At 45.0% G+C, this 20933-nt stretch overlaps 1 protein-coding gene and 1 pseudogene across 29 annotated transcripts in view, besides 5 other annotated features; both read right to left on the reverse strand.

The window, feature by feature from the left end:
* ACSL1 (acyl-CoA synthetase long chain family member 1) overlaps positions 1-20933 on the reverse strand; it is a 71000-nt gene that overhangs the window by 40780 nt on the left and 9287 nt on the right. For 8 of the 28 annotated variants that reach the window (NR_167706.1, NR_167705.1, XM_017007887.2 and 5 more), the window contains one exon: positions 6946-7172. The exons of 3 other annotated variants lie outside the window; for them this stretch is intronic. Coding sequence is in view for 18 of the 25 variants with exons in the window: in XM_017007887.2 (XP_016863376.1) it covers positions 6946-7140 (195 nt within the window). In the remaining 7 variants the exon portion in view is untranslated. Of the gene's footprint in view, positions 1-6945; positions 7173-9065; positions 9180-11917; positions 12158-15785; positions 15878-17538; positions 17604-18623; positions 18751-20933 lie in introns of those variants that run through there. 17 more of the 28 variants (NR_167708.1, NR_167698.1, NM_001381886.1 and 14 more) reach the window with 8 other exon arrangements.
* On the reverse strand, positions 1922-2672 carry SLED1 (proteoglycan 3, pro eosinophil major basic protein 2 pseudogene; annotated as a pseudogene). The gene has a single exon (NR_003542.1). The product of NR_003542.1 is annotated as a proteoglycan 3, pro eosinophil major basic protein 2 pseudogene (transcript).
* Positions 11997-12542: an enhancer, noted in NCBI's record as "NANOG hESC enhancer chr4:185729525-185730070 (GRCh37/hg19 assembly coordinates)". NCBI's record gives its function as "activates a minimal SCP1, AML or CMV promoter by ChIP-STARR-seq in naive H9 embryonic stem cells {active_cell/tissue: H9 hESC(naive)}" and the evidence as "EXISTENCE:reporter gene assay evidence [ECO:0000049][PMID:30033119]".
* Positions 18536-18715: an enhancer, noted in NCBI's record as "active region_22234". NCBI's record gives its function as "activates an Ori minimal core promoter by ATAC-STARR-seq in GM12878 lymphoblastoid cells {active_cell/tissue: GM12878}" and the evidence as "EXISTENCE:reporter gene assay evidence [ECO:0000049][PMID:35858748]".
* Positions 18856-18915: an enhancer, noted in NCBI's record as "active region_22235". NCBI's record gives its function as "activates an Ori minimal core promoter by ATAC-STARR-seq in GM12878 lymphoblastoid cells {active_cell/tissue: GM12878}" and the evidence as "EXISTENCE:reporter gene assay evidence [ECO:0000049][PMID:35858748]".
* Positions 19096-19415: an enhancer, noted in NCBI's record as "active region_22236". NCBI's record gives its function as "activates an Ori minimal core promoter by ATAC-STARR-seq in GM12878 lymphoblastoid cells {active_cell/tissue: GM12878}" and the evidence as "EXISTENCE:reporter gene assay evidence [ECO:0000049][PMID:35858748]".
* Positions 19686-19765: an enhancer, noted in NCBI's record as "active region_22237". NCBI's record gives its function as "activates an Ori minimal core promoter by ATAC-STARR-seq in GM12878 lymphoblastoid cells {active_cell/tissue: GM12878}" and the evidence as "EXISTENCE:reporter gene assay evidence [ECO:0000049][PMID:35858748]".

The raw sequence follows: 20933 nt of genomic DNA on the forward strand, positions 1-20933 counted from the left end.
CCCTGACTAATACACCACCCCACTGCCCCAACTGCCAGGATCGCTTGCCGCAAATGTCCTCAAATGCTGGAATACTTTTCAGGAATTCTCTGAGCACAACGTCAGCAAAGTTGCTAGGGGTAGAATTAAAAGGGGAAATCTTTGCTCCCATCTTCATTTGACCATTTGCACAATTATGTTGCTATCAAGACCATGGAATAACAGGCCATGGGGAACACTGACCCGGAATCTGCAATCACATATGGTAATAAATGGAAGTTAATGCCTAAAAACATCCCAGATTTCCATAAGGATGAAGGATAGGGATGTAACCAGAGCATTGGATCAGGAGATTCTTCTGAAGTCTCACACAGGCTTCTAGTTAAATACACATCGGATAACTGATTTCTGTTCCAAAGCTTCCCAGAGATGAGAATTAGGTTTACATTTACAAATGACTGTAGAAACAGTATTTATTAGGTCATATTTACAAATGACTGCAGAAACAACCAGATGCTACTACTGTTCCTAATACTTGTCCCTGCCTCTCAGCGTTCACCTGATACCTCCCACCTGGTTCAAAATCATTCATCTATTGCCCTGCCTTGCAACTGACTGTGACAGACCTTCTTCAGACCCATCAGGCTGGTGTCAGTGAGGGCGAGTGACACCACCATCCAACTCAACCCCAGCTGCCCTTCCTGGACAGCTCCCTTCCTGCCCACTCCTGGCAGTTTCCACTAAGGCTTGTCTCTAAATGTCTGCCTCACAGACACGTGTAATCCTGCCCAGATCAACAACAGCTCCCGCTCACAGCGGGCCCCAGCCACTCAAGTCCAGAAGGGTGTCTCGCCGCCCTTAGCGTTTCCACTGGCATGATCCCTATAGGCCCACACTTGCTTTACCTCCACAAGTCTGGTGTGAGTCTTCATAAAAACTTATGAATCAACGAGCTGCTCTCTTCTCCTGCAAAAATTATTTCTCCTAGTTTGCAAGTGGGCCTTTACATGCGTACATGTGTGAAGTATGGTTACGTGGAAATGAGGGATTCCACCAGCCACACGGGGAAATCCTACTTGGTAATATGCTCCATATACACCCTCTAAACATGGATGAAGGATGCCAGTCCTTGTTGCAGTGTGCATGTGAGCTGGAGGTCTGTGGTTTGTTCATGCAGGCCATGACACTGAGAAGGCCTCTGGTGGAGTGTGACTTTTGAGTTGTAAACCATGCTGTTGATTGAGCGTGGCTCCCACAGCCTGGATATGTTGCCTTTAGTTTGCTTCTTCCAAATCCTTACCTGAGAATGAACCCACAGCTGTAGTTCTATGGCATGAAAACAAGTCACTTGCATTGACTGCTCTAGTCTCAAGATGGCTCTCACCCTCTGCCAAGGACAAGGGGTCCGAGCGGTACTTCCTGCTGGCCTGGAGCTCCCTGAGGGCAGCAGCCTTCTCTGCCCTGGTACTGTGCACATCATGCCAGAAAAACTCAAGTCCTTGCTGAGTGAATATAGATCTGATAACTATTCTCTGTGACTTGTGGAGAATGAAACCCAAAGCGCCACATCCTCTGTGGCAGGCTTTATGAAGCATAGGATTAAAATGCTAAAGCAAGTCGCTAACCATATATATGCTAACATATGGATGTACAAATTTCAATCTCTCATGCAAAAGGGCCACCGGCCAGCATGTGACCTGGAGGTCAAGAGATCGTTTGGTGTGGAATTTAGTCATCCAACTAGGAAACGAGATCAGTTATACCCAAGGAACTGGTTCTGTGTATTGTAAGATATGAACCCATGCTGGAACCAAGGTCTGATAACAATCTAAACAGTGAATCTGTGATAGACTAACTGGGTTAGTCACCAGAAGTAAACCTTAATCCAGGTTCTGATATTCTTAAAATTAAGTCTTAGAAAAGACGTGAAGGCATAAAAAAGTTTTTACTTGCTAAAATTTATTCCCTTCTCCAATATCTAAAAACAAACAAATAACACATATCACAGGTTTTTGTTCAAGTACATTATGATCTTGTAGTAGTTGTCAAAAATCTTTCCGAACTAATTTGACAAGTCAGTCATCTCAATGCCCATACCACGGCTCTCATAAGGAGAGGAACTCACATATTCTCTCTGGAGGGTCTCCATCCCGCTGGCTTAGAAGGAGCAGGTGAAGGGCAGATGCCACTTGCATGGGGCTCATCACCAATGGCCCCCTCTGGCAAACAGGGCCACACAGCAGCCATTCCCATTCCCGGGTGACCCTAAGGCCCAGTACCCAAAATTCCAGTGGCTCCTCTCGGTCCAGCGAAACTGCTTCCACAGCAAGCAGCCCTTGAGGATGCCTCCAATCCAGAGCAGGGCCAGGCTGGCTGTGCCAGCGTAGCACTGATTGTGATCACTGGAGGTGTAGCTGCAGACGGAGATAAGGTAGCCTGCAGAGCATCTCAGACATTCTGAACTTCTGTGAATGTCACAGGGGTCCGTACTAACTGGGAGCAGCAGGTCTTGCACACAGGACTTGCCTGCACTACTACCTCCTTCAGCAATTACAAAGGTTCTCATCTATATTCATAATGGTTCATGGCCTAAATCTCTCAAACTCTGATAGGTGGACCTGAAACCACATCAACACCAACTCCTGCTCTGATTCCATCTATGTCTGACCTGGTTCAGGGATAGAGGATGAGGGAAGGACAGAGTCACTCAGGTTTTCACAGTCCTGTGCCCCCTTCATGCCAGTCCTCTCCATTACCTGATTCTTTTTTTTTTTTTTTTTTTTGAGATGGAGTCTCGCTCTGTTGCCCCCGCTGGAGTGCGGTGGTGCAATCTCGGGTCACTGCAACCTCCGCCTCCCAGGTTCAAGCAATTCCCGTCTCAGCCTCCCGAGTAGCTGGGATTACAGGCACACGCCACCACGCCTGGCTAATTTTTGTATTTCTAGTAGAGACGGGGTTTCACTATATTGGTCAGGCAGGTCTTGAACTCCTAACCTCAGGTGATCCATCCACCTTGGCCTCCCAAAGTGCTAGGATTACAGGCGTCAGCCACTGTGCCCAGCCCACTACCCGATTCTTGACAATTTCTGATCCTATACCCAACAGAACTTAGACTCTGTTTTTATTTTACCTGTCCCTTTTGCTCCTTCCATTTCCATCACTACCTTTAGACTCATTTGCCTGCATATCCATTTTCAAAAGATCCTGCTCTAGGCCAGGTGCTGTGGCTCACACCTGTAATCCCAGCACTTTGGGAGGCCAAGGTGGGAGGATTGTTTGAGCCCAGGAGTTTGAGACCAGCCTGGGCAACACAGCAAGACCTCATCTCTAAAAAAATTTTTTTTAATTAGCCAGGCATGGTGGTGCATGCCTATAGTCTTAGCTACTCTGGAGTTAGAGGTGAGAGAACAGCTTGAGCCCAGGAGTTTGAGGCTGTAGTGAGCTATGACCACACCACTGCACTCCAGCCTGGGCAACAGAGCGAGACCCTGTCTCTAAATAAATAAACAAACAAACAAGCCTGCTCCTGGGTTTAGAGGCTCAAGCCACTGACTCTTCATATTGATCTGGACAGATCCAAACTTTCTATCCTGGTTTACTGCCCCCTTCCCCAAAGCCCTAGTTATAATATACAACTTTCTACTACTATAATGAAGGCAGCATAACAGAGTTCTGGACCTTCTACTAACTGTATGATATAATTTTACCTCTTTGGACTCAGTTTTCTTGTGTATAAAATATGAAGATTAAAAGACAAAGGGAAAAAAGTAACATTGCTGCATACTTATTGTGGGCCAAGCAGACATTGCATAACTCTTCAGTCCTCTTAGCAACACTGAAGGAGGAAAGGTACTGTCACTTCGGTTTTCCATATGAGGAATCTGAAGGTCAGAAAATCCTGGTGAACTTGCCCAAGGTTGCCTGGTCTAAGTTGGAGTCCAGTCCCACATCTGCCCCATCCCTCTTTTCCCTGGTCCCTTTCCGCTCCAACATGCTCCTGTACTTTGCTTAACTGCAACCACGTGTGTCTGGGCTCCGACCAATCCGAAAAGGTTTCCAGTCACTCCAGTGAAGATCGTTTTCACTAGGGGGCCATGGGGCTTCAATCTCAGAGAAGAGGCTAAAACATGTAGCCAGGCTAAACCGGAACACTGGCTAACACCAGAAATCTTGCATTATCTGTGACAGTGATGTAAAAAGAAAGCAAACCCACAAAATCTGCTTCTATCCATTGCTCAAAGTCACAGAGCAGCAGCAGCAAAATCCTTCAGAAGATAGAAGCTCTTCCTTGGCACGCAGGGCATCACAGTTATGACTGTGAGCTGCCACTACAGACACAAGGACGTGGTTCTCCAGACAGGGCCCTGATCAGTCCGGGCTCCAACACTTAAGAAACACTTTTTGGATTCTGTTCCTAACCCAGCTTGTCTGTCCTGTTCTCTAATTTAGGTCTTCATTAGAGGTGACCAGCATGAGTGTTAACCTCCTCTTTACAACCCTGATTTTTATTTTTCTTAGGGACAAGGTCTCGCTCTGTTGCCCAGGCTGGAGTGCAGTGGCACAGTCATAGCTCACTGCAGTGTCCAACTCCTGGGTTCAAATGATTCGTCCACTTCAGTCTCCCGAGTAGCTGGGACTACAGCCATGAGCCACCACACCCAACTAATTAAAATAAAAAAATTTATAGAGATGAGGCCTTGCTATGTTGCCCATGCTGGTCTCAAACTCCTGGCCTCAAGCAATCCTCTCACCTCGGCCTCCCAAAGTGCAGGGATTACAGCATGTGCCACTGCACCCAGCTCTACAATCCTGATTTTTAAAAGGAAATTTCAGAAGGTATAATTTACAAAGAACCTCTGTGCTACTGCCTTAAAAATCAGTAGCTGGGAAACAGCCAGCGTGGGTTGTGATGAGAAGTGGCCAAACCAAAAAGTGCGGATTCTTCTCATTTTAGTATCCGTGTAAACTTTATTGGACAAGGAGGGTGATAAAAACTGTGCATGTGAGATGGGGGTGCAGAATGAGGGTGGGAACTGGCAAACCCTGCTTACTTGTTTTCAAAGTAGGAACACAGCAACAATATTCCACTCCGGCCACCAGCCCCCCGCAGCAGTGCCAGATGCACAGGCTCTTCACCGGTACCTTATGAAGTGAATCAAGTTCCTCTTTCCCTGCCCTAGGTGTCCACAGGATGATGCTAGCTATATCAAAGCATCTGTAATTATTAAGCACCAGAATTCCAGAGCTACTTTTAAATTTAAACTTTTAACTTCTTTTTTAAAAAGGCAAAGCAAGCTCAGTATCTATTTCTAAGCCCCACAAATTCTGAAAATCAGAGCTAAATCAATGTCTATAAACAGAGAAAAATCAGGAAGCCTCTATACTGGGCAGTAAAATTATAGATTTTCATTTCTTGCTGCATATCTCAAGTTTTAAACTGTTCTAGAGAGAACATATGTAATTATTTTAACAAGGCACAATGCCTTTATGCTAAGCTAAAGCTTTAAAACCACACGTAAGTGCCCCCACAATTTCTCATATAATAGGAATTACTCATTTCTTACAGTTACTGCTAAGTTATACATGTCTTAACACTGCACTTGCCAACAACTCTTCATGGAGATGGCAGCGCTGCCGTGACACATCAGGTGCTCTGCCAGTAGAGAAGGAATGCCAGAACCTCACAGGAATCCCTTAGGAAAAGGGAGATTCCACTCATTCCCCAGCCTATGTGATTAGCTGAGGTGAAATATTAAGGTACCCTGACCTTCTAAATAGAAATCAAGTAGAAAGTTAACTTTTCTCAGCTGTAGTTCAGTCATTCTATATTTATATTTTGGCATGAATTAGACTGAAGAATCTTTTATATATTTTAAGAGTTTCACATTAATGAATCCAAGAACTTGTCTAAAATAAAACAAAGACCTAGAATCCCATAAATAACAAAAATGCTGACTCCAGCCAGGGCTTTATGTGGAAGGGCACACACTCCCTCTGCGGCAGTCAGCCCGGGGGGGTGGGGGAGGCCTTCCATCTCTTACATCTGGAAGCAGTAAATGGGGGGATCTTGTGTTTCACAATGTTCTTCTGCATATCTGCTGAATGCGGGAAACACTGAAGGGTGACTGACTTGGGTAGGGGAAAGCAAGCGACCACAGAGAAAACCAAAGAACAGGTGAGGAGTGGAAGCACCAGTGAGCATGCGGCCTCTTCATCTTCTCCACACCCTGCCTTTCTCACTAGGGAAGGCAGGGAGAGCAGGAGCACTAAGAATCTTCCTGAAAGGATCCTAAGGTTTCCTTACGCCATCCCTCCTATTAAGCCCTAATTGCCCGCATTCCAGTTTCATTTTCCTAACATGAGAGCACAGCCTCCAGTTTGCCCAAGTCACACACAACCACGGCGCTCAGCAGCCCAGCCAGACGCGCCTCTTGAGGGTTGTTTCTTCATGTCCTGCCCCGAATTCTGCAGCCGTGTTCTTCCGTCAAGTTCTTACTCCAGCCCTATTCTATTTGAAATCCCAAAGTCCCTTCCAACAGGCTAGGGATATGTTCTAAGCGTCAGATGTACCACGAGTGCATTCTTTTGGTAACATTTGTTTGAAAACTCTCATTCCTGCCAGAATCTAATCCCTGTGAGAACAGGGGTTCTGTGCTATATTTTTCCTTATGGAATCCTCCAGGCTGACCACAGTGCCTACCACAGCGTAGAAACTCAATGTCATTTCTAGAATGATCTTCCATGTGACGAGAGGTAGACACCCAACCGACACCCTCTCATCTGTCCCTGTGCCTATATTTTGCCCTGTACCTCTATTTACCACCATCAGTAATTTGGCACATTTCCATTTACAAAGTGCAGTTATAAACAAATATTTGATCTTGATGGCTATCACATTCAACAGGGCTCAGCTCATCTGGGGAAATGCGGAGAAAACGCACGAGGCAGGCTGGGCCCTCCACTCACCGCCACTTCCACTGACTGCATGGAGAGGTCGCATGGCGGCTTCAGGGGTTTGGGTCTCGTGGCGTACCAGAAGGTGGTGAGTGCTGCAAAAGCTCCGAAGCCCATAAGCGTGTTGGTCGGAAGAGTACGCACGTACTGTCGGAAGTCAACCAGCTCTGGCATTCGAAAATACCGGAACAGCTCATGGGCTTGCATTGTCCTGTGTTGATAGTTCTCTAAGCTGAATTCTGTTGGGAGAGAAAAATGTCACGTTCGTTCCAGGGAAGCAGGACCCCTCTCCAGAACTCCAAAATTCCACCGGCCAGCCATCTAATTGGGTAGCTGCTCGGCCAGTCCAGGCATTAAACCCACAATCTAATGATCCGGGGCTTTTCCTGGCTGTCAAGTGTCATTTTTCTAAAAACACTTTAGGATTTCATTTTCATTCTATTTCTCCATTACCTTGTATTGAAAAAACCCCATTCTCTTCCTTTCATTAACCATATTAAAAAGATTTTACTCAAGAAGAATTCTTCCCATAAAAACTCAAATAAGTAGATTTAAGTTTCTATTTTCTTCTTTGCTACTACGTCTCTGCTCTCGTCCATCCACCTAATCAAAAACACTCGACTCTCATTGTCAAGGCTAATGGGAATATGAGTGAAGGGGAAGTACAAGCCCAAACCACCTAAGGGCCATCAGTTTCTATTTCTTCCAACAGATCTCAGAACAAGTTCCCAAACTGGTTAAACACACCAATGTAAATTTCACCTTCTGTACTCCTCACACGACAACAGTGGCAATATAAATGCTGGGAAACCCATAGTTGGCTATCTGGTAAGATGAGTTTCTTTTACACTCCCCAAGACATTATAGCCAAAAGAAACAAACAGATAAATTGGTGTGCATAAACTTTAAACCAACCACCAGATATCTAAAGAGGGAATACAGCACAGTGTTGGAAAGAAAGTACAGAATAGTATTTGAGATCCTAGATGCAGCCGGACGCGGTGGCTCATGCCTGTAATCCCAGCACTTTGGGAAGCCGAGGCGGGTGGATCACCTGAGGTCAAGAGTTTGAGATCAGCCTGGCTAACACGGTGAAACTCCATCTCTTCAAAAAATACAAAAATTAGCCAGGTGTGGTGGTGGACACCTGTAATCCCAGCTACTCAGGAGGGTGAGGCAGGAGAATCGCCTGAATCCAGGAGGCAGAGGGTTGCAGTGAGCCGGGATCGTGCCACTGCACTCCAATCTGGGCAACAAAGTGAGACCCCGTCTCAAAAAAGAAAAAAAAAAAAAAAGACCCTAGATGCTAGAGCCAAATTCTGCCTCCCTGGCATATGAGCTGTATGATTTGGGACATATGACCTCCCTTCCCTGTGCCTCAGTTTCCTCATCTGTAAATGGAGACGGAAATAGCACCTTATCTCGCAGGGCTTTTCTGACTGCTAAATGACTCACATAAAGAGGTAAGAATGATCTCACACACGTTAGAAAGTGCTCAAAAATATTAGATTTTATGATTATTTCCTCTACCAACGCTCTGTGATTCATCCTGAGTGCAGAACAAGTAAAGCACGCAGGTAAAAACACTGCCTACAAGGAGTGTTCAGACAAAATTAAGAAGCTTCTGCACAGCAAAAGAAACTACCATCAGAGTGAACAGGCAACCTACAGAATGGGAGAAAATTTTTGCAATCTGTCCATCTGACAAAGGGCTAATATCCAGAATCTACAAAGAACCCAAACAAATTTACAAGAAAAAAAACAAAAATTTACAAGAAAAACAACAAACAAGTGGGCAAAGGATATGAACAGACACTTCTCAAAAGAAGACATTTATGCCACCAACAGACACGTGAAAAAATGCTCATCATCACTGGTCATCAGAGAAATGCATTGTGGTTTTGATTTGCATCTCTTTTTCTTTGTTAAAATACAGAAATTTTCTGCTAAAATTTAAATTTAAATGAAATTAATTTTAAATTTAATGGTCTCTGTTTTACAGGCCATTAATACTACCAGAACCAACATAATGTATTTGCTCTGCTCATTCAATCTCTGCTACAATGAATCCATGTAAGTGTACTCACTCACACACACACACACAAACACACACACGAAATTTCAAGGTTTACCATGACAGCAAAGAAAGAACAGATAAGCAGATTTCTTCAGGCCATGGTTCTGGAAAGAAGGCACCAGCACTTAACAAAACCACTCACCATCTGTGCCACCAACAGCTGACTACTAGGTGACACCCCACTGCAGACACAGAAGAGGGCAATGAGCCTGGAAGTGGGCGGGGGTTAGCAGGGCTCAGCTGCGCTCCCCCAGCCTACCAAGGTCTCTCAGGGCACAAGTCACATGCCGAGCCCCACGCTGCTGCCCACTGGGCTAAAGGTAACTAGCAGACAAAATCCACACTTGACTTCTCAGGAGAGCAGAGGGTGGAGGATAGGCCAATGGGCAGCCAGCAGCAAAGTCACCCCACTGCTCCACCCATGGGCAGGGACAGGCATCAGTGAGTGTTGCTGCCAGGACCGGTTCTGAAAACAGACACTGTTTTCTTTCTGCTCAGCTTCCCAATAAGAGACAACGGGCATATATTTTTTAAACCACTGAAATGAAGGATAGGATGCCGGGTGGTATGTCTAACCAAGGTAAGGCATACCAAGAAAGAAACAGATTGCCCAGAGCATGCTGACAGCAGATTTATTCTAGACGAATACATAGGAATTGAGCTACTCCCGTCACTGCATATCTGAGCACCTAGTGTGAGCCAGGCTTTGGCCAGGCGCTGGGAAGACAGTGTTGATGACCTGGTCTAGGCTTTCAGTGGGCTAACCTTCTAGCAGGGAAGATAAAAATCAAACAAGCAAGGTCTGCAAGGCACGGGGGAAGGCCTTTCTGAGGAAGGGATGTACACCAGGCGGGATAAGCAGACAAATCAAGTCCATGTCCTATTGACACTGAGTGTTCAGATTTCAGAAACAGTATTGCAACTCCACAACCTCAAAGCAGCCTTGGGAATATAATGTGCAAACTTGCCTTGCCCTCAAATCCTTCCACCTCTAGTTGTCTTCATCACCCTGCAGCACTCCAGGCCTGAATAGGAAGTACTCACCCCGACACACACTGCCATGCCTTTCTCTCTTCTCTCCCCAAAGCTCCTAGAGTAACTCCCATAAAACCTAGATTGTGTGAATTTGCAGGTGCTGTTCAACAGGATCACATCCCTGAGTGAGAATCTTAAATAATTCCTCTGTAAACAAATACAGTCAGACACAGGGGATTAATTTGTCTATTTTAAGCATCAGCAGTAGCCATGCTATAGACTGCTTTACACCAAGAAAGTTTATTAAATCTAAGAAAGAACACTTTAAAAAAAAAACTTCAGAAAATTATATATTTAGTAGCATGTGTACAAGAACATTTCATTAGATACTAATCTATAATACTAAGGGTTTGAATCCAGCCAAATTCCTATATTTAGTGGGTGATAATGACAAACTATAGCAGTTTAATTCATGCCTCTTAAATGGCAGCCAGGTAACAAGCTGCAAGCCAACTTCACTGAACAAACTGATTAATGCTATACATAGGAAAACTATAGTCTATGCATAAAGAACTAAGACAATAGCTCATTTAGATATGTGTGAAGAACAACTCTTAAACAGACACTGATAGCATTATAAATCTTTTCCCTTCTATTAACTGCTATTAAGGAAAAGGCACTTGGGGTATTTAAAAATGGAGGTACACCTACATCCAAAGAAAATCAGGCACAAGAAATAGTCTTTCAACGCTGTATGTGAACATAAGCATTAGACTAAGGGGTCTCTAAGAAGGACTAAGACTCATACACTTGCTAACAAATGGTAAAACTCAGACAGATTGTATTCTTATTCCAGTAGTGTTCTGGTTTGAATATTTCTTTATTCTTTCAAAATCAAATTTCCATATAAACATCTAAGGAAATTTATAGCCTGGGCATGTAAATCATGCCGCTGTTTGCCAAAAATATAATTCAATTGGCTTAAAGGCTTAAGGAGCCAGTATTTCCCAGCTGGGAACACATAAGGCTACTGACAGCCAGCTTCTCCTTCCTCTACAGCCACTCCTGTGCACCCTCCTCCCCACTCTTACAGAAAGTGGGTTTGCTCAGCTGGGTTTTCTGTAAACCTGGAGTCTAAAACCACAGAAGGATGGGGAAGGTAACAATGGCCAAGGAAATCTGGGCACAAGCCCAGTGTAAAGATCCAGCACAGGAGATTCCTTTAAATAGACCTGGGCAGAGACAGGCATAGCGAGGCAGGGTGATGGAAACTGAACTGCACGGACTGTCAGAAACCAAAATCCTGGTACCCGTCTACCCAAACTTTGGATAGAACTAAAAATGCAATTAGCATTTACTTAGTGTTTTGGAAAGGCTTTCATATCCAGTGTCTTATCTGAACATCACAAAAGCAAACTGATGAGGAAGAAACCAAGGCCAGAGACTTATAAGCCTTCCCCAGGATGTTAGTCAAGAACGGGACACCAACCAATGTGACTCTAAATCCAACCTATGCTAATAATTCTTAACTATGCTAAGCCACTGACCCTCTCCCCTGAGAACACACATAACTATCACAAGTCTCCTTTAGCCCAACCCAGGTTAGGAACCATGAGGTCAGGTTTCTAAAGTCCTTCCAGTACTCACACTCCCAGGTATTATGACAGCTCCCTCCTGAGGTCCACCTAAATGCTCAATGTCTTACAAAAACGTTAGCATTTATTGTATCACCCTGGCCTCTGAACACGTGGTGAGTTCAAGGCCCACTATACACAAAGGTTCACCTCTTCACCATTTTATTTGTACCATGAAAATAGTGGCTCAGGGCCAGAGGTGACTCACAAGGACATCATTCTCTTGAAGATACACATACACAAACATACACACACACACACACACACTGCCCCTGCAACTCTGCAAACTTTTACTTACATTAACATTGTATTCTCTTCATGTCATTTAGAAACCAAAAACCGGGTGGTCTGGATGTTTCTCTCCTTCTAAAGTTCCTCAAGCTTTCATCAAGATGAATAATGGCAGTTTGATGGAATACTTCACTAGGAATGCAGCCCTCAAACAAACCCACATAAATGACACCCTTGCCCCTGCAGTGGCAAATTAAGAAAGCCTGACATCTTTCCTTAACGCAGCAACCCAAGCTGGCAAGATGCTGCCATTCCGTGCCCCGCCTCCTCCCCTTGTACAATAGGCTATTTACAGAGGCTGAAAGCGCCCCCTTTGTCATTCACTAGCTGGGCAGAGCTCAGGCTTCAGGGAGGAACAAGAGAGCAGCAGCCAGGCCATTTGCTGCTCTTTCAAAGCACCACTCCAAACCTGTTGGATTCGTGCTCCTTAACCCTGGCTTGGCAAATTCCCTAAAGTTAGATTTGCTTAAGCCATTCCCTTTTGAACCAAAAGAGCAGTCAGGCTCTCCCTAGAGAGAGGGAGGTACGGCAGCTCAAAAGAGATGCCAGTCTCCCAGCTGGAGAGGAAAGCAGAGGTTGCTGTCCAAACCCTATCCCACTGATCTCCCTGACTGTGGTCACTGCTCTGGGCCCATCTCCTCACTCTGAGCATCAGGAGAAAGATTTGGGGTAACTTTGGGATCCCATAACAAACATGCAAGTGGTTCCACAGGGAGTCAGTTATTCCCACCCACTGCCTTGTGGCTTTTTCTTCCCAATTAAGTATAATAAATCTTAAACCCACTTAATTTTCATTAAAGTGATCTTATAGATCACCAATTGAATTTCCTAAGGATGTAAAAAGAAGAAACAAAGCAGATGCCCTGATTTTATTAATCTGACTTATTGAAATATTCAAGTCCAGCTGAATACTTCTACACTTAAACCACTCCCTGCCCATCCCCTTATAAAGTTATCAGAGAAAGAGTGAGACACAAAGCTTTGAACTGTTAACCAGTAAAATGAGGACCATACCTCAACCATTCACATTGGTCACAAATATCATATATGCCCCCCAAAATAAAGAGATCTCAAACACAATATGTCGAATTTGAACAGATAAATTTTTAGGATGCAGGGTCAAATATCTTATAGCAGTTTCTGTATTCATTAAACTACATCTCCAGTTAAATCACATGAAGAACTAAATTACTTTAGAAATACTGTTTTAAATTCACATTTCATTAGGCCGGGCGCGGTGGCTCACACCTGTAATCCCAGCACTTTGGGAGGCCGAGGCGGGCAGATCACGAGGTCAGGAGATCAAGACCATCCTGGCTAACACGGTGAAACTCCATCTCTACTAAAAATACAAAAAAAAAATTAGCCAGGCGTGGTGGCAGGCGCCTGTAGTCCCAGCTACTTGGGAGGCTGAGGCAGGAGAATGGTGTGAACCTGGGAAGCGGAGCTTGCAGTAAGCTGAGATCGCGCCACTGCACTCCAGCCTGGGCGACAGAGCGAGACTCTGTCTCAAAAAAAATAAAAATAAAATAAACAAATAAACCACATTTCATTAATATGTTATTTGAGTTCTTTGAATATGCATCTTCAAACAGGGTTTGGGGCATCTCTACAGCCACTTTTTGAGGCATCGAATGGTTTTCTGTGGCATACATTCACATTTTCCTCTTCCACTGAAGTTGTTGAAATTGAAGCAGTTTTTGAAGTCATGTATGTGCTACTAGTGAAAAAATTCTCCCAAGTCACAAGAACACATTTGAATGATATTAGAACAGGAGAAATTTTGTCCTATGGGTCCACATTTATCTAACTAAACCTCATACTCTATTTATAGCTTTTTAAACTGATTTTTAAATGCACTTTTTACAGTAACAACCAACATTTGCCTTTGTAAGCTGAAACCCTAAGAAATAATTACCCAGCTAGCATTACATTTGCTGTAGAAAAAGTCTAATTCAGCTAGTTGACCTGTACAAGGACCCATGACTAGGACTGGTAGAGACGGTTTCAGGACAAGGTGCCCTCTCTCCCCGAGGCTGTTCCAAATACAGGGGCTGAGAGCACCTCATACTATGACAGCCTTGGTAAGACTTAACTAGGAAGGCTGAAGGAGAATTTTGGGACACTTTCATCTTATATTGGGACAGGAATCTTATATTGGGCTTGGAATTAAAAGACATAACATAAATGTATACACAAAATAGTGGATAACAGAGTAGCAGTAAGTGCAAAATGAATTCTGACAGGGAGCATTTGCTCTTAGGGAGGGTTGCATGGAGAAGGCACAGCTGAGCTGGTCCTTGACAAATGAGAATCATCTGGGAAAATGAGCTATCCTTCATGCCCCAGGGACAGAGACAAGGCTACTAGAAGTGCCTCCTGACCTCAGGGCTCGCACTTTCGCACATTAATCTGGAACAAACGATAGGGCTCAAGCGGATAGGATAGGATAGGATAGGAAAGGGGAAGGAAGATGTTTGGGGAAATGGGCTTAGTTATGAGTTTGTTAGGAGCCACTGTGCTTAAGCACTTGCCGTGTGTCAGGTGCTGTGCTACGGGACTGCGCACAGGGCTAAATGCGTCCTCGTCACAGTCCTTACTGCACGGGGTTGTTACTGCCTTCAGCTCAAAGATCAGGAAACTGTACAGGAGTCAAATGTCCTGCCCTAGTTCCACATGAGAACAGGATGAGTGCCTGGGTCTGAAGCCAAAGCCCACAGACCTCAAGAGCTGAGCACATCAGCCCAGTCGTGCGTGGGTGTTCAAGTCTAAACAGAGGGCATAGGTGACACTGACAATGACAAGCCACGATGCACAATGCTTTTTTTTTGTTTTGTTTTTTGAGACAGAGTCTCACTTTGTCGCCCAGGCTGGAGTGCAGTGGTGTGATCTCGGCTCACTGCAAGCTCCGCCTTCTGGGTTCACGCCATTCTCCCACCTCAGCCTCCGGAGTAGCTGGAACTTCAGGCACCCGCCACCACGCCTGGCTAATTTTTTTTTTGTATTTTTAGTAGAGACGGGGTTTCACCGTGTTGGCCAGGATGGTCTCGATCTCCCGACTTTGTGATCTGCCCGCCTTGGCCTCCCAAAGTGCTGGGATTACAGGTGTGAGCCACCGCGCCCAGCTGCACAATGCTTTAAGAGCCCAGGATTCAAACCCAGATTTCCAACAACAGATGAACGGATCAAAATGTAGTCTATACAATGGAACATTATCCAACCTTTAAAAAGAAGGAAATTTGGATACATGCCATGACATGGATGAAGCAAAGGACAAATACTACATGATCTCACTTCTAGGAGGTACCTAGAATCAGCAAATTCACAGAGACAGAAAGCAGCAGAGAGGTTACTGGGGGCTGGGCAGGGGGAGGAGGAATGAGCGTTATTGCTGAACGGGCACAGAGTTTCAATTCGGGATGACGAAACATTCTGGAACTAGATGGTGGTAATGGTTATACAACCCTATGAATGTACTTCAAACCACTGTGTAACTGTATACTTAAAAATGATTAGCATGACAAATTTTATGTTATATATATTTTACCACAATAAAAAAAGTTTAATTATTTTTAAAAATTGCTTAAGTGGATACAAATGGACAAAAGAGAAGTAATTTTGAGCCTGAGAATGAATGGCAAAACACTGAAGAGACACTGGGAGGAGGAGACAGGAGGGTGATTTGTGAGCAACCGGCCCAACCTTCCAGGGTCCTCAGGGCCCTCCTTCATGTGGGAGGAGGCGGCGGTTCCACAACTACCCAGAAATCCTACACAATCCCCTCTATGAGAAGCAATCAGTCCTTCCTCTGAACTCCAGGACTTCTTTATTTGTAACCCCTGTGTGGTACTTAGCACCTCCTGTCTTACACTTACAGCGAATGGTACTTAGTACCTATGTAGATGCTTCTTCCTCTCCCCGGCCAGGGTCTCCTCCCATCTGTCTTTATATGCCCTTGGTTCTTAACACAGTCCCGAGCCAAGGACAGGTGCTTAACAAACATCTACTGAGTCATGAATGACCCTCTGTGATTCTGACCGTGTCAGACCCTCTGTGATTCTGACTGTGTCTCTGCAGCAAGTCCCTTGAGGATATATTCATAGAACAGTGATTCTCCAAAAAGAAAGGGGGTATTAAGCATTTTCCAACTTCAGTAGTCTCCTTCTACCCGCCACCAGACTCCTACACCGCACACCAGAAAGGAGTAGAGAACATCTCCTGGCTGACTGGGGGAAAAAGAAAAGGGTGCGAGCCACTGATGTAAAGGGGACATAAAAATATTCTCTTGCTCTTATTTTGATCATGTTTTATATTTCTCAAATTGTTTCACTTATGTAGAATGTCAGCCCAAGACTGCCATCAACTCTAAGGGCTACTGTCTTTAGAAGACGCTGAGATACAGTGAGATTTGGACAGACGACTGATGATTCATTTAAAACAAATCAAGGCTGCCCCGGGGGAAGGGAAGAGATCAAATAAGTACTTTTCTTAAGTAAAACAGCAAATATCAGAAAGGCTTGAGCCCAGAGCCCCATACCAGGGCTGGACTCCAACTTCTGTGAGTTTTCTATGACAGAAAAGAGAATCTTCCAAACCAGGGAAACAGACAAGACTCAAGCACAAGATCCAGAGTCCCACGCGAGGGCTCTAGTGAGGAGAATGCTCCCAGAAACACAGAGCTAGTGGGCGGCCACCTGAGATGTACGGAATGCTGACAACAGGATATGCCCAACATTCTCCAGAGCAAACAAAACAAAACAAAACAAAACATATAGCTCTCCTCCCTTCTCTCTTCACACACAGCTGCAAAGATCTGTCATGTACATCCACTTGAGAAAATGATGATTATAGTTAGGACATGCCCCATGACGATATCCAGGTCATGTACAGCCTTTGCGTGGGACAGCAGGGCTAAATTTTGGCGGTACATATTTAAGAGGGCAAGTTTCCATTCAAAAAATTTCCTATGAGAAGAAAGATGATTCCACTTGTCTTCCAATACTGATTGAATAAGGCTAAGCAACTGTTGTAGATATGTCACAATGAGGCAGATAAGTTTACTGATAAGAGCTAGAGAAGGCAGCCAACTTGGGCAGATAGCCTCCGTCAACAGCTTTGTGGCAGCGGATGGAGACAAAAAGATCCGCTTTTTAGGCTGACGCAATCCTTCTGCAAAGAGCAAGACAGAAAAGGCTTGTGTAGACTAAACTTCTCACTCATGAACTGGATCAATACGGCATGTTATTTCAGCTGATGTTCAGCACAGGAAGAGTCGGAATTGTGTCTCTATGACCGCAAGTTGAAGAACATGACAGCATGTTCTAAGGGTATTAGGCAAGACAAGCACGGCCTGTTATTACGAAAGCTAAAGAAGGAAATAAAAGGCTTTTTGCCACTGAAATAATCCAGAAGACTCTTCACCTTACTGGACTCAGCTAACCACAAAGTAAGCCCTGAAGCAAGAGACCACACCAGGAGAAGAGAGCACAACTGAACAGCAGAGAGGATCAAATGTCCTTTCACAGTAGCCAGAGCTGGCCCCAAGCTATGCAGGCACTTTCCTCCTCCGAGGGCCATGGATGGAGAGGAAGCTCCACTTGTTTGAGAAACTGCACGCAGAGAAGGTACCTAGATCCTGGGGTCCTCTCAGGTGCTCTGCCCAAAGTCAGGATCTTCCCATCTTCCCGTGGTGACTATGGAAATAAACAGAATATGAACATGTAAGGCTGGGCACAGTGGCTCACGCCTGTAATCCCAGCACTTAGAGAGGCCGAGGCGGGTGGATCACGAGGTCAGGAGATCAAGACCATCCTGGCTCACACGGTGAAACCCCGTCTCTACTAAAAATACAAAAAAATTAGCCATGCATGGTGGTGGGCTCCTGTAGTCCCAGCTACTCGGGAGGCTGAGGCAGGAGAATGGCATGAACCCGGGAGGCGGAGCTTGCAGTGAGCCAAGATCGTGCCACTGCTCTCCAGCCTGGGCGACAGAGCGAGACTCCGCCTCAAAAAAAAAAAAAAAAAAAAAAAGGAGAGTGGGAACAGAGGAGAGCTACGCCTCTTTCCATCATGAACATCATGGTAGCTTCTCCAAGACTATGTAAGAGAAGGGAAAAGATGGCCACACAATCCTGGCGTCCAGGACTAAACAATCAAGTTTCCACCTAATACCCAAAACCCCCAGGGAACAGTGATATATGAAGAAAAGAGTCAATGTTAAAACCTTCAATTCTATGTGGCGAGTCTATGGGTGTTTTTACTACTATGTTGTTGTTCTTTGTATGTTGCTGTATTTTTCCCAATTTTTTACTATGGAAAAATTAATATAAAACTTGCCATCCTAACTATTAGCTGTATTTTTAAAAGTTTCTCCAGATAAAGAAGCTATAAGTGAGTCAGGTCAGTTAATGTCCTCCTGTATTTATGTATTTCCCACCTGCTCCACGAAGGATTTAGGTAGTGACCTGTCCTCAGAACAGAATGACAGATAGGATATAAACCCCTCCTGGAAAATATGTAGCTATGCTTTGCCCCGTCTGCCCACGCTGGACCCGGCTCAGCCACTGACCTGCTATGTGAGCCACTTCCACTTTCGTGCCTCTTTGAAAAAGGAGTCACACCACAAAAAAAGAAGCAACACTCTGAACATTCCAGGGGGATAACCAACTCTCCTTAGTTCCTGACAATCAGAAAGCCTGAGGATAAAATACTTACAAGGTTTTCTTTGCCTTCAGCAAGTTTAGGATATCAATGAAGACAAACACACCTGCAAGAGTTAACAGAGCTACAGAAGACAGATCTGATAACCACGGCAGGTAGGGCCCTGGTGCTCCAGGAATCTAGGGGAGGGAGAAAACAGTACGCATGCACCAGGCATCCGAGGGAGGGCTGTCCAGAGAGCTGAGGGTGGAACCAGGCCAAGTCTGAACAGGCAGAGACAGGAGTGGGTGGAGAAACACCAGCAACAGCCAGACAGTGCTGTGAGCAAAGAGGCAGGGAGGAGGCCCTGAAGGAGCGGCAGGTGGGCTGGGGACTCGCAGCCGCATTGTAAGGCAACCGTCAGGAGCCTCTGCCTCTCTCTCTCCCATGACAGCATTCTTGTCAATGTCTTGGCTGAGTAAGAAACAGCTGGCTAAAGGAGGCTCGCCCTCACCCAGTGGGTGTTTAGTTCACAGAGCCCTCCTGTCCCCTCCAGGACCCAGGCCTGGGGGGGGAAACTGGGAAGAGTAAGACCCAGTCCTTGTCTTCAAGGAGTCCACAGCACCCCACAGCTCGCAGAGGTCACAGCTATCACATATCAGTGACCTGGATAAGAAGGTTAAAAAGGGCAAAGGTTGGGTAGAGTTACTCACACCTCTTAAAATAGACCAAGGTTTCAGAGACTGATAACCACAGAAATGGCTTAGCAGGACACGGGTGAGAAGACAGGACACAAAGACCTCTCTGCCCAGGGAGAAGAAGATCAGCCTCTCACGAGTTTGGAGAAATCCACTTCTGAGTTGAGTTTTTACAGATTTCAACAGGTACCTGCTGTTACTTTAAAAAGCAGAGATGAGGCCAGGTTTACAGGTTCATGCCTGTAAACCCAGCACTTTGGGAGGCAGAGGTGGGTGGATCATCTGAGGCCAGGAGTTCAAGCCCAGCCTGGCCAACATGGCGAAACTCCATCTCTACTAAAAATACAAAAATTAGCCAGGCGTGATGGCACACACCTGTAGTCCCGGCTACTCGGAGGCTGAGGCAGGAGAGTCGATTGAACCTGTGGGGGGCGCAGCGGCAGTGAGCCAAGATGGCACCACTGCGCTCCAGCCTGGACAACAGAGACGCCATCCAAAAGAAAAAAAAAAAAGCAGACATGAATGGAATCTAGAAGATAATCACAGGCTATGAGGTTCCCCAGGACTGGACGCAGCCTGCAAAAAACATGGGACCCTGTTCTGGCCTCTGAATTGTGCCTGTCATGTGGAAGACCTCAGTGGTGTTGGAGGAAGCAACAAGTGAAATAGGGAAAAGGTTAACCAGGATTTAGCTCATCGTATTGGGAAGGAGAAGAGAGGTACTGGTGACAACCACGAGACATGAGCTAAAATTACACAAAGAGCTCAGGTAACTATAAAAAGAGGTGACTGGCTCTGGGGAAGCCAAAATCAAAACAAACCTAACAAGTTGCAGAAGATTATAGAATAATGACCAGTGTTTAAAAGACAGAAAGAAAAAGAGACTATGCAGTTCGGCCATTACCTGCTCGGAATGGGTGATACTAGTTTGGGGTCTCTATATTCCCTTTATGTTTCACTTAAAATTTATTATGAAAATTCAAATCTATTCAAAAGTAGACACAGAAGTATAATAAAACTATATTTTATGTACCCGTGACTCCAACTTCAGCTTCAGTAATGATCAACGTTTTGCTGTTTCATTATACCCACTTCTTAAAAAATTACTTTAAGTTACATCCCAACACCCTGTCTCTCAGGTGACATTTCTGAGGCCTCCACGGCTCTATGGTTCTACCGCGTGGGGGTATCATGTGCAGGACAGTAAAACTGACTGGCATGTAGGCTGCATCTTGCCAACTGCCCAAAGGTTTAAACAAAAGGAGGCAACCTGAATATTGACTTGAAGCATCCAACTCAGCATAATACTTAATTATCATGCAAGAAAAACGCCCATATATTCAATTTGCAAATATTGAGGATATGCAAGTCAGCTCCAGCCTCAGGGGATATGATAGTAAACAAAAGAGAAAAAAATAAAACCCTGATCCCAATGAGGCTTCCACACTGCTAAGTTTTGGGACCAGAGACAAAACATACTCTGGAGTTAACCTGACTCTCCTTAAGTCACAGGCCTATTTGACATGAATCACAACCTAGCCAGAGAGCAGTTTCTATTCCCCTTTAATTGACAAATTCTTTCCTTTTTAAAAAATGGCATTCAGAGGTCTCTCATGATACTGGTGCTAGAGAAGGAGTTAACTTTCTGGTTCTCTAGACTTCTGATGATGTACCCCAATAAATAAAT

The sequence above is a fragment of the Homo sapiens genome, chromosome 4 (genome assembly GCF_000001405.40).
Source record: "Homo sapiens chromosome 4, GRCh38.p14 Primary Assembly".
NCBI classification, from domain to species: domain Eukaryota; kingdom Metazoa; phylum Chordata; class Mammalia; order Primates; family Hominidae; genus Homo; species Homo sapiens.